The following is a 12,958-nucleotide window of genomic DNA, read 5'->3' as shown; positions in this document are numbered from 1 at the left end:
ATTAGGAATACAATCTTGAAAAGATATTAGCTAAAGTAAGCACAGCAAATTTCTGGTTTAATAAATATTATAGTTAACTTCTTCCTTGGAACAACTATTTAGGTAAAACACATTTTAACAACTCTAGACTATACCATTTATGCCTACATCTTAGCATATATACATAGTAATTTGTACATAAACATTCATTTTTAAAGAGCAAGGGGAAAATAAATTAGTAGCTAAAAAGCAGAAAAGACAGCTGTTAAATTCAATGAGAGTATTGCATTAGAATAGTTGGTGAGAATCTTTCATTTGAAGTGCATACTAAGGAGGCATTAAAAGATTTCTAACCACACAAAATTAGACACTTAGGTTGCCAAATATTTATGTTTTTTTTTCTCTCTGAAGCCCAACAATTTCATGCAAAACTTTCATTTGCATTTCAGGCAAAATTTCAAAAACATTTTGCTTTTAAAAAACAATCAGCAATCTGTTCCTCCAATCTGTAGGGGAATAAATGTAAAGAGTTCACTGAACTTCCACCTCCATTATCAATAATCACCAAATTCTGCAGAATATATTGGCTATAGTTTTCATGTTTGTCTCACAAACCTTATGTTGAAATTTGTTCCCTACTGTTGGAAGTGAATCCCTTTTGGAAGGTGTTTGGGTCACTGGGGGCGAATCCCTCATGAATGACTCACTGCCTTCCTCGTCATAAGGAGTGAGTTTTCATTCTATTAGTTCCCGCAAGAGATGGTTGTTAAAAAGAACCTGGCACCTCCCCACGCCTCTTGCTTCCTCTTGTCATGTGATCTCCAAACATGCTGGCTCCTCTGTCCCTTCTGTCATGAGTGGAAGCAGCCTGAAGCCCTCACCAGAAACAGATGCTGGCACCATGCTTCTTGTACAGCCTTCAGAACCTTCAGCCAAGTAACCTCTTTTCTTCTCTGTGGCCCAGGTTGGAGTGCAGTGGTGTAATCACAGCTCACTGCAACCTTGAACTCTTGGGCTGAAATTATCCTCCCATCTCAGCCTTCTGAGTAGCTAGGACTACAGGCATGTGCTACCATGCCTATTATTTTTTCTTTTTAATGGAGATGAGGTCTCTGGGAAAACTATGGTGACTTGACAACACCCTGAGAATCCACTTTCTACAAAAAGATTGTTCTGTGTGCTGAAATTAACTCTATCAAATATGCTATAAGCAAATTAGTAGGATATATGTTCTGCCTGTCCTCAGTTATACACTAGGCAAATGCAAAGTGACAATGGGCCAAAAGCCTCTAATATGTCTGGCTTATTTCACTTAGCATATCTTCCAGGTCCATCCACTTTGCTGTAAATGACAGAATGTCCCTTTTTTGGGGGGAACCAAGGTTGAAGAGTTTTCCTTTGTAAGTGTGTGTGTGTGTGTGTGTGTGTGTGTGTGTGTATACATATATACAAATTTTATTTGTCTATTCATTCATCAGTGGATACTTAGATTGATTCCATGTCTTGGCTATTGTGGTTAATGCTACAATGAACATAGGGATGCAGATATCTCTTCCAAATACTACTTATATTTCCTTCAGATATATATCCAGAGATGAGATTGCTGGATCAAATGAATGATAGGTTTATTTTTAATTTTTTGAGGAAACTTCATACTGTTTTTTATAATGGCTGCACTAATTTACATTCCCACCAACAGTGTACAAGGGTTCCCATTTCACCACATCTTCATAAACATCTGTTATCCTTTGTATCCCTTGTATTTTTTATAACGGCCACTCTAACAGGTCTGAGGCAATATCTCATTGTGGTTTGATTTGCATTTCCCTGATAATTAGTAATACTGAGCATCTTTTCATATACCTATTGGCCATTTGTATATCTTCAGGTCTTTTTCCCATTTTAAAATCAGATTGTTTGTGTTTGCTATTATATTGTATGAGTTCCTTTTGTATTTTGGATATTAGCCTCTTATCAGATATATGGTTTGCAAATATTTTCTCCCATTCCCTAGGGTACCTTTTCATTTAGTTGTTTCCTTTATCAAACAGAAGCTGTTTGGTTTGATGTAGATCAACTTGTTTATTTTTTCTCTTGTGGTCTGTGCTTTTGGTGTCATATCCAAACAAATCATTGCTAAGACCAAGGACAGAGAATATTTTCCCTATGTTTTCTTCTAGAAGTTTTTGGTTTGGGTTTGATATTTAAGTCTTTAATTCATTTCAAGTTAATTTTTTTGTGTGATATAAGATAGAGGTCAAGTTCATTTCTTTTTGCATATAGATATCCAGTTTTCCCAACATCATTTATTGAAGAGATTATTCTTTCTGCAATGTATGTTCTTGATACCCTTGTAAAATATTAGTTGACTGCATAGGCATGGGTTCATTTCTGGTCTCTCTATTCTGTTGCATTGGTCAGCATTTCTGATTTTATGCCAGTACCATACCATTTTTATTACTATAGCTTTGTAAAATAACTTAAAATCAGAATGTCTGATGCCTCCAACTTTGCTCTTCTCTCTCAAGATTGCTTTGGCTATTTGGGGTCTTTTGTAGTTCCATATGAGTTTTAGGATTGTTTTTTCTATTTCTGTGAAAAGTGGAATTGGAATTTTGATAGGGGTTCTTCCAAAACATTGGATGTTTTTCCATTTATTGGTGTCTTCTTCAATTTCTATCATCAACATCACATAGTTTTCAATATACAGATCTTTCACCCCTTGGTTAAATTTATTCATAAGGATTTTGTTGTTTTTGATTTTGATGTTATTGTAAATGATATAGTTTTTCTTTTTCAGATAGTGTGTAGACATGCAACTGATTTTTATTGATTTTGTACCCTGTAGCTTTACTAAATTTCTTATTTCTATAGTTTTCTTTGGTGGAGCCATTAGGGTTTTATATAGATAAGATCATGTCATCTGCAATCAGAGGCAATTTAACTTTTCCCTATTTGATGTGGTTGCCTTTTATTTCTTTTTCTTGCCTCTTGCAATGGCTAGGACTTTCAGTACTATGTTGAATAGAAGGAGCAAGAGTGGGCATCCTGACTTGCCCCTAGTCTTAGAGAAAAATTTTCAGCTTTTCAACATTGAGTATGATGTTAGCTGTGTGCCTGTTATATATGGTCTTTATCATGTTTAGGTATATTGCTTCTATACCCAATTTTTAAAATTTTTACAATGAAAGAACGTTGAATTTTGTCAAATGCTTTTTTTGCACCTACTGAAATGATCACATGATTTTTATCCTCCATTTTGTTAAAGTGTTGTATCATACTTATTGATTTGGTATATCATGCCACCCTTACATGCCTGGAATAAATTCCACTTGATCATGGTGTATGCTCCTTTTAATGTATTGTTGAATTTTGCTAGTATTTTGTTTGCTAGTATTTGGTTGAGAATTTTTATATCTATTTTCATCAGGGATATTGGCCTGTAATTTCCTTTCCTTGTAGTATCCATATCTGGCTTTGGTGTTGGGGTAATGCCGGCCTCATTGAACAGGTTTGGAAGTGTTTCCTCCTCTTTAATTTTTTGGAAGTTTGAAAAGAATTGGCATTAACTGCTCATTAAATATTTGGTGGAATCCATCAGTGATACCATCGGTCCTGTTCTCTTCTTTGTTGGGTAGTTTTTAATTAACAATTCAATCTCCTTACTCTTTACTGGTGTGTTTAGATTTTCTATTTCTTTATGAGTCAGTCTTGGTAGGTCGTATATTTCTAGAAAAGGTTACCCAATTTGTTGGTATATAATTGTTCATAGTAATCTCTTATGACCCTTTGTGGTTGGATGGTATCAGTTGTAATGCCTTCTCTTTCATTCATAATTTGATTTCAATCCTCTCTTTATTTCTTGGTTATCTAGCTAAATTTGCCAATTTTGTTTGTCTTTTCAAAAATCAAAGTCTTCATTTTGTTAATCTTTTATATTGTCTTTCTAATCTGTATTTCATGTGTTTTGTTCTTATCTTTATTACTTTGTTTATTCGGCTAAGTTTGAGATTTCTTCTTCTTCTTCCTTGATGTTTAAAGTTAGGTTATTTGAGATCTTTCATTTTTCTTGACATAGGCATTTATTGCTATATTAAGAACTGGTTTTGCTGCATCCCATAAGTTTTAGTATGTTGTGTTTCCATTTTATTTGTCTCAAGATATTTTTTAAATTTCCTTTTTGGTTTCTTCTTTTTCCCATTGGTTGTTCAGAAATGTGTTGCATAATTTCCACATATTTGTGGTTTTCCATTTTTCTCCTGTCATTGATTTCCAGTTTTATACCATTGTGGTCAGAAAAGATACTTGATATGATTGCAATCTTCTTAAAAAATTTTAAGACTTGTTTTAAGTCCTAACATTTGATCTTTACTTGGATAATATGTAATCTGCTGCTTTTGGATAGAATGTTCTGTATTTGTCTGTTAGAGCCACTTGGTCTACAACATTGTTTAACTCTTCTGTTCCCTTACTGATTTGCTGTCATTGTGGAAGGTGGGTATTGAAGTCCCCTACCACTATTGTATTACTATCTATTTCTCCTCCCTCCAGTTCTGTTAATATTTCCTTTATATATTTAGGTACTCCAGTTTTGGGTACATATATATTTACAATTGTTATATCCTCTTGACGACATGACCCCCTTGTCATTGTATAATGGCCCTCTTTGTCTCTTGTCACAGTTCTTGACTTAAAGTCTATTTTGTCTAAGTAGCCACCCCAACTTTCTTTAGATTACCATATGCATGGGATATTATTTTCCATTCCTTCACTTCCAGCTTATGTGTGTCTTTTTTTTATTTTTTAATTTTTATTTGCCAAATTATTTCTCACTTGAGACCTATGCATGTCTTTAAACTGAAAGTGAGTCTCCTATATGCAGCATAGTTGGATCTTGGTTTTTAAAATCCATTTGGCCACTCTATGTTTCTTGATTAGATAACTTAATCCACTTATATTTAATTATCAATAGGCAAGGACTTACTACTGCCATTTTGTTGTTTTCTGCTTTGGAGTTCCTCTCTTCCCTTCTTCTTTTGCTGTTTTCCTTTGTGATTTTATGACTTTTTATGGTGGTATGCTTGGATTCCTTTATCTTAATTTTTTCTGTATCAACTACACATATTTCCTTTGTGGCTATCATGAGGCTTATTTAAAAATAGTTTACAGTTATAACATTTTATTTTAAGCTCATAATAGGTTGAATCACATCAAAAAAAACTCTATACTTTTAATTCTCCTCACCAAGTCACATTTAAGGTTATTAATGTTACAATTTACATCTGTTTAATATTGTGTATTCATTAACAAATTATTGCAGTTAAAGTTACTTTTAATATTTGTCTTTAAACTTTTACACTAGAGTTGAAAGTGATTTACATAACACTATTTCAATATTAGAAAATTCAGAATTTAACTATATACACTTGCCCCTCACTGTTTGTGGTGGATTGATTCCAGAACTTTCTGTGGATACCAAAATTTTCAGATGCTCAAATCCCTGATAAAAAGTGGCATAATATTTGCATATAACCTATGCACATTTTCCAACGTTAAATCATCTCTAATTTACCTATAATACCTAATAAAGTGTAAATACTATATAAATAGTTGTTACACTGTATTGTCTAGGGAAGAATGACAAGAAAAATGTCTGCACATCTTCAATACTGATGTGATTTTTTTCTAATATTTTAAATCTGTGGTTGGTTGACTTGACAGATGTGAAACCCAAAGATATAGAGGGCTGACTGTATTTACCTTTCCCAGTGAGTTTTATACATTCATATATTTTTACATTGTTAATTATAATCATTTCATTTCAGATTGAAAAACTCCCTTAACTCCCTTTAGCATTTCTTGTAAGGCAGGTCTAGTAGTAATAAACCCCCACAGCTTTTGTTTGGGAAAGTCTTTATCTTTCCTTCATTTCTCAAGGACAACTTTCCTGGGTATAGTATTCTTGGCAGTTTTACTGCTTTCAATATTTTTAATATATGACCCTACTCTCTCCTGGCCTGCAAGGTTTCTGATGAGTAATCCAGTGACAATCTGATGGAGACTCCCTCATATGTGATGAGTCACTTTTCTCTTGGTACTTTCAAAATTCTCTCTTTGCCTTTGAATTCTGCTAATTTACTTGCTGTATACCTCTTTGAGATCAAACTATTTGAGAACCTTTGGGTCTAATGAATCTCAATGTCCATTTCTCTCCCCAAATTTGGGAAGTTTACAGTCATTATTCTTTAAAATAGACTTTCTTCCCATTCTCTCTCCCATTCTAGGACTCCCATTATATGTATATGTTTTGCTTATACTGTCCTATAAACCCTATAGGGTTTCTTCACTGTTTTTCATTTTTTTGATTTTTTACTCCTCTGGATAATTTCAAAGGATGTCTTCAAGTTCACTGATTCTTTCTTCTGCTTGCCTGAGTCTATCAGCTCTTTATTGAACTTTTTAGTTGAAGAATTCCGTTCTTCAGCTTTCTTTGTTGAACATTTCATTTGTTCATGTATTGTTTTCCTAATTTTGTTTAGTTGCCTATCTGTGTCTTCTTGTAGTTACAAACTTCTTTAATAGGGTTATTCTGAATTCTTTGCCAGTCAGTTTATAGATACTTATTTCTTTAGAGTCAGTTATTGAAGCTTTATTTGTTTTCTTTGGTAATGTCATGTTCCTCTGATTCTTCGTGATGCTTGCATCCTTGCATTGGTGTCTATGCATTTGACTAAGCTGTTCCCTCTTCCAGACTTTATAAGTTTACTTCATTCGGAAAAGACCTTCATGAGTCATCCCAGCCTGGAGTGGGATAGGCCATCTGGTAGTAATCATGGATAGATGAGGCTTGCTGCCAGAGTCTCTGATTGGGCAGGGCCAGTGCCTGTGTTATGAGGTCAAGTGGGGGTTATTGGCTGGGGTCCTTGGTCAGGTGAGTCTATTAGCTATGCTCTGTGGTCAAGCAGAGCCACTGGCTGGACACTGCAATTGGGCATGGCCATAGTCTGTGCCTCAAAGTTGAGCAACATAACTGGTTGGGTCCCTTGCCTAGGTAGGGCTGCTAACTGTGTTCCTTGGATGGGAAGGGTCACTGGCCAGGCTTCTTTGTCAGGCAGGGCTATAGGCTGTGCTCTGCTAGTTGGTGTGGTTATAGTCTGGGCTCTGTGGCTAGGCCAGACTACTAACCAGCAATCTCAGCTGGGCAGAACTCTGACCATCCTTGTTGGCCAGTTGGGGCAGCTGACTTAGTTCTGTGGGTGGGCAGAGCCAGTGGCTGGTCTCTCTGGTTAGTCAAGGCTGCTGGCAGGGATCTAGTGCCAGCACTAAGATTTGTCTGCTGGTAGCTATAAGCTCTGCCTCCCTTCTTTTGTACCTAGCCCACCCCTTGTGCTCTAGCCGTGCCAATTCCCTCAGTGTTCCTCATGAAGTCAGATACAAGTGGGCCTCCTGGGGAGCACTCTGAAATGCTAGGGAAGCTGACTACCTCAAGCTCCCTTTTTCTCACTGGAGAAACCGTAAGCCCGAAGGGTCCCTCTTGGAGTGGCACTGTGCCAGGCTGTGAGAGGGGCAACATCGTCAAAATGTGACTTGTAAGGTGACTTTTCTCAGTTTTTGTACTCCAAGGCACTGCTTCAGCCTCACCTCCCCTGTCCCTTCTCCCCACTACGTCTTGGGTTCTGGGATTTTTCACAAAGGCATTCTTGTCTGTGGATAGTTGCCAATCAGTATTTCTGTGAAAGAAACTAAAGTCAGTGACCTTCTATTTTGCCATCTTGTTAACACAGACAAAATTCTGAAAAAACGATCACCCTCATCTTGGTAAGAACAATCTGGGGTGTGTGGCAATCTGTGAGAAAAACAACACCTAAGAGGAGCCCATCTTCCCTACGATAAGTGGACAAAGATCAGCCTGAGCTGAAAAAATCATAGAGATCATGCTCTTTATATATTTCTGCCAGCAGAAGAAAATTGAAAATTGCATTTAGGGGGTGGTGCCAAAATGGCCAATAGAAGCCACGGCATTTGGAGGCTTCCATTGAATAAAATCACAACAAGCATGTGAATCCTTCACTGGCAACCAAGGTATCCAGGTTCTTTCATCAAAATTGACTACTTCGGGAGGCCGAGGCGGGGAGATCACAAGGTCAAGAGATTGAGACTATCCTGGCCAACATGGTGGAACCCCATCTCTACTAAAAATATAAAAATTAGCTGGGGGTGGTGGCACATGCCTGTAGTCCCAGCTACTCAGGAGGCTGAGACAGGAGAATCGTTTGACCCCAGGAGGCAGAGGTTGCAGTGAGCTAAGATCGTGCCACTGCACTCCAGCCTGGCAACAGAGCGAGACTCCGTTTAAAAAAAAAATTTTTTTTTGACTAGAAGGCTAGCATGAGCCACAGAGAGAAGGAAGAGCAGTGTGGTGCGGCAGCCCACCTGAGAGCCACATGGGGCAGGGAAGCCCACACCCCACAGCCAAGGGAGGCAATGAGTGATCACGCTACCTAACCGGGGAAACTGTGCTTTTTCCACGGAACTATGCAACCCACGGATTGGAAGATCCCACTTGTGGACCCACGCCACCAGGGCCTAGCGTCCCCCAGCCCAGACGTGCAGATTCCTACAGCCTCTCAGCTGGAATCTGCTTAGGCCTACCAAACTCCTGGGGGAGGGGTGACTAGCACCAGCTGTGGTTGTCTGCTGTCTAAGCCTTTTGAGTACCTTGGGGGAGGGGCAACAGCCAGCACCGGGACTCACAACTGCCTAACACGCTCAGCTCCCTGGGAGGGGAAAGGGCGACATCTGTTTCTATAGCTCCAGGCTGCACTTTTCCCCTGCTGGAGCCAGGGAGGCTGGACGGCTTGGTCCCAAGACTTGTCCCCACAGCCCAACACACCAGCTGTGACAGTCTGTGGCCAGAGGGCCTCTTAAAGCCTAACCCTGAACCATCCTTCCTCAGTGGGTGGGGCTTCCCTGCTGGATCTCTAATAACTCCAGCCAGAGGCTAGGGACAGAATTCAAATCTCCCTGGGCCTAAGCCCCTGGTCGGGGGCAGGGTAGCCACAGTCTCTGTGGACCAGCAGACTTAGCCTCTCCTGTTAATTCTAAGGAATCCAGGCAGCCTAGATGAGTGGGTTTCCCCTGAGAAACACACCTTCTCCACCAAGGGAAAAATTGCTTCATTAAATGGGTCCTGCTCCCCATGCCACCCAACTGGCTGAGACCCTCCAACAGGGGTTGTCAGACACCCTATACAGGAGTGATCCTACTAGCATCATGTTGGTGCCCCTCAAGGTCAGAGGTCCCAGAAGGAGGAGACACCCATCTTTGCTGCTCTCCAGTCTCCTTGAGTGACATCTTCAGGCACAGGAGCAAATCAGATGAATAGGGCCTGAAGTGAATGCCCAGCAAATAGCAGCAGGCCTACGAAGAAGGACCAGACTACTGAAAGAAAAACAAACAAGCAGAAACCAACAACAACAGCATCAACAACAACAACAAAAAGGCCCCCACAAAATCCCCATCCAAGGGTCAGCAGCCTTAAAGACTGAAACTAGACAAACTCACAAAGATGAGAAAGAATCAATGAAAAAATGCTGAAAACCCAAAAGGCCAGAGTGCTTCTTCTCCTCCAAATGATAGCAATGTCTCTCCATCAGGGCACAGAATTGGATGGGAAATCAGATGGATGAATTGATAGAAGTAGGCTTCTGAAGATGGGTAGTAAAAAAACTACGATGAGCTAAAGGAGCATGTTCTAACCCACTCCAAACAAGCTAAGAAACTGATAAAAAGTTAGAGGAATTGCTGACTAGAAAAACCAGTTTAGAGAGAAACAAAAATGACCTGATGGAGCTGAAAAATACAGCAAGAGAACTTCATGAAGCATACACAAGTATCAACAGCCAAATCAACCAAGCAAAAGAAAGGATATCCGAGTTTGAAGACCACCTTACTGAAATAAGACATGCAGACAAGAATACAGAAAAAAAGAATGAAAGCAACAAACAAAGCCCCCAAGAGATATGAGACTTCATAAAAACACAGAACCTACAATTGATTAGAGTACCAGAAAGAGACAGGGAGAATGGAAACAAGCTGAAAAACACACTTCAGGATATTATCCAGGAGAACTTCCCCAACCTAGCAAGACAGGCCAACATGCAAATTCAGGAAATACAGAAAACACCATTAAGATACTCCATGAGAAGATCAACCCCAAGACACATAATCATCAGATTCTCCAAGGTTGAAATGAAGGAAAAGTTGTGAAGGGCAGCCACAGAGAAAGGCCAGGCCACCTACAAATGGAAGTCCATCAGACTAACAGTGGACCTCTCAGCTGAAACCCTACAAGCCAAAAGAGATTGGGGGCCAATATTCAACATTCTTAAAGAATTTTCAACACAGAATTCCATATCCAGCCAAACTAAGCTTCATAAGAGAAGGAGAAATAAAATCCTTTACAGACAAGCAAATGCTCAGGGATTTCATTACCAGCAGGCCTTCCCTGCAAGAGGTCCTGAAAGAAACACTAAATATGGAAAGGAAAAACTGGTTCTAGCCCTGCAAAAACACACCAAAATATAAAGACCAATGATACTACAAAAAAAAAACTGCATCAACTAGTGTGCAAAATAACCAGCTAGCATCACAATGACAGGATCAAATTCAAACATAACAACTAACCTCAAATGTGTATGGACTAAATGTCCCAATTAAAAGACACAGACTGGCAAATTGGATAAGGAGTCAAGACCCATCGCTGTGCTTTATTCAAGAGACCCATCTTATGTGCAAAGACACATACAGGCTCAAAATAAAGGGATGGAGGAAAATTTACCAAGCAAATGGAAAGCAAAAAAAAAAAAAAAAGCATGGGTTGCAATCCTAGTCTCTAACAAAACAGACTTTAAACCATCAATGATCAAAAAAGACAAAGAAGGGCATTACATAATGGTAAAGGGTAAAATTTGACAAAAGAGCTAACTATTCTAAATATATATGCACCCAATACAGGAGCACTCAGATTCATAAAACAAGTTCTAGAGATTTACAAAGAGACTTAGACTCACACACAATAATAGTGGAAGACTTTAGCAACCCACTGTCACTATTAGACACATCAATGAGACAGAAAATTAACAAGGATATTCAGAACTTGAACTCCCCTCTGGATCAAGTGGGCCTATTAAACGACTATAGAACTCTCTACCTAAAATCAACAGAATATACATTCTTCTCAATGCCACATGGCACTTATTCTAAAATTGACCACATAATTGGAAGTAAAACACTCCTCAGAAAATGCAAAAAAAACTGAAATCATAACAGTCTCTCAGACCATGGTGCAATCAAATTAGAACTCAGGATTAAGAAACTCACTCAAAACCACACAATTACAAGGAAATTGAACAACTTGCTCCTGAATGACTCCTGCATAAATAATGAAATTAAGGCAGACATCAAGAAGTTCTTTGAAACCAGTGAGAACAAAGAGACAACATACCAGAATTTCTGGGACACAGCTAAAGCAGTGTTAAGAGGGAAATGTATAGCAATAAATACCCATATCAGAAAGCTAGAAGGATCTCATATTGACATCCTAACATCATAATTAAAAGAGCGAGAGAGGCAAGAGCAAACTAATCCAAAAGCTAGCAGGAGACAAGAAATAACTAAGATCAGAGAAGAATTGAAGGAGATAGAGACACAAAAAAACCCTTCAAAAAGTCAATGAATCCAGGAGCTGGTTTTTTGAAAACACTAACAAAATAGATAGACTGCTAGCTAGACAAATAAAGAAGAAAAGAGAAAAGAATCAAATACACACAATAAAAAATGATAAAGGGGATATCACCACTGACCCCACAGAAACACAAACTACCATCAGAGAATACTATAAACACCTCTATGCAAATAAACTAAATAGTCTAAAAGAAATGGATAAACTCCTGGATGCATACACCCTACTAAGATTAAACCAGGAAGAAGTTGAATCCCTAAATAGACCAATAACAAGCTCTGAAATTGAGGCAGTAATTAATAACCTATCAACTGAGAAAAGCCCAGGACCACACAGATTCACAGCTGAATTCTACCAGAAACACAAAGAGGAGCTGGTACCATTCCTTCTGAAACTACTCCAAACAATTGAAAAGGAGGGACTCCTCCCTAACTCATCTTATGTAGCGAGCATCATCCTGATACCAAAACTGGGAAGAGACACAACAAAAAAAGAAAACTTCATGCCAATATCGCTCATGAACATCGACACAAAAATCTTCAGTAAAATACTGGCAAACCGAATCCAGCAGCACATCAAAAACCTTAACCACCATCATCAACTCAGGTTCATCCCTGGGATGCAAGGCTGGTTCAACATACACAAATCAATAAAGTAATCCATCACATAAACAGAACCAACAACAAAAACCACATAATTATCTCAATGGATGCAGAAATGGCCTTTGATAAAATTCAACATAACTTCATATTAAAAACTCTCAATAACTAGGGATTGATGGAACATATCTTAAAATAACAAGAGCTATCTATGACAAACCCACAGCCAAAATCATATTGAATGGGCAAAAACTGGAAGCATTCCCTTTGAAAACTGGCACAAGACAAGGATGCCCTCCCTCACCACTCCAATTCAACATAGTATTGAAAGTTCTGTCCAGGGCAATCAGTCAAGAGAAAGAAATAAGGGGTATTCAAATAGGAAGACAGGAAGTCAACTTGTCTCTGTTTGCAGATGACATGATGGTCTATTTAGAAAATCCCATCATCTCAGTCCAAAAACTTCTTGAACTGATAAGCAACTTCAGCAAAGTTTCAGGATACAAAATCAATGTGCAAAATCACAAGCATTCCTTTACACCAAGAATAGGCAAGCAGAGAGCCAAATCATGAGTGAACTCCCATTCACAATTACTACAAAGAAAATAAAAGACCTAGGAGTACAGCTAACAAGGCA

The 12,958-nt window shown here is 38.5% G+C and overlaps 1 long non-coding RNA gene across 1 annotated transcript in view, besides 3 other annotated features; it reads right to left on the bottom strand.

The window, feature by feature from the left end:
- The window catches only part of LOC101928012 (uncharacterized), an 85,692-nt gene that overhangs the window by 52,308 nt on the left and 20,426 nt on the right, over positions 1 to 12,958 (bottom strand). The window lies entirely within an intron of this gene.
- Positions 7,176 to 7,677: an enhancer, noted in NCBI's record as "H3K27ac hESC enhancer chr7:112288143-112288644 (GRCh37/hg19 assembly coordinates)". NCBI's record gives its function as "activates a minimal SCP1, AML or CMV promoter by ChIP-STARR-seq in primed H9 embryonic stem cells {active_cell/tissue: H9 hESC(primed)}" and the evidence as "EXISTENCE:reporter gene assay evidence [ECO:0000049][PMID:30033119]".
- Positions 7,969 to 8,709: an enhancer, noted in NCBI's record as "NANOG-H3K27ac-H3K4me1 hESC enhancer chr7:112287111-112287851 (GRCh37/hg19 assembly coordinates)". NCBI's record gives its function as "activates a minimal SCP1, AML or CMV promoter by ChIP-STARR-seq in primed H9 embryonic stem cells {active_cell/tissue: H9 hESC(primed)}" and the evidence as "EXISTENCE:reporter gene assay evidence [ECO:0000049][PMID:30033119]".
- Positions 8,710 to 9,452: an enhancer, noted in NCBI's record as "NANOG-H3K27ac-H3K4me1 hESC enhancer chr7:112286368-112287110 (GRCh37/hg19 assembly coordinates)". NCBI's record gives its function as "activates a minimal SCP1, AML or CMV promoter by ChIP-STARR-seq in primed H9 embryonic stem cells {active_cell/tissue: H9 hESC(primed)}" and the evidence as "EXISTENCE:reporter gene assay evidence [ECO:0000049][PMID:30033119]".

The sequence above is a fragment of the Homo sapiens genome, chromosome 7, assembly GCF_000001405.40.
Source record: "Homo sapiens chromosome 7, GRCh38.p14 Primary Assembly".
Taxonomy (NCBI): domain Eukaryota; kingdom Metazoa; phylum Chordata; class Mammalia; order Primates; family Hominidae; genus Homo; species Homo sapiens.
This window is presented reverse-complemented; position numbering and strand designations above follow the sequence as displayed.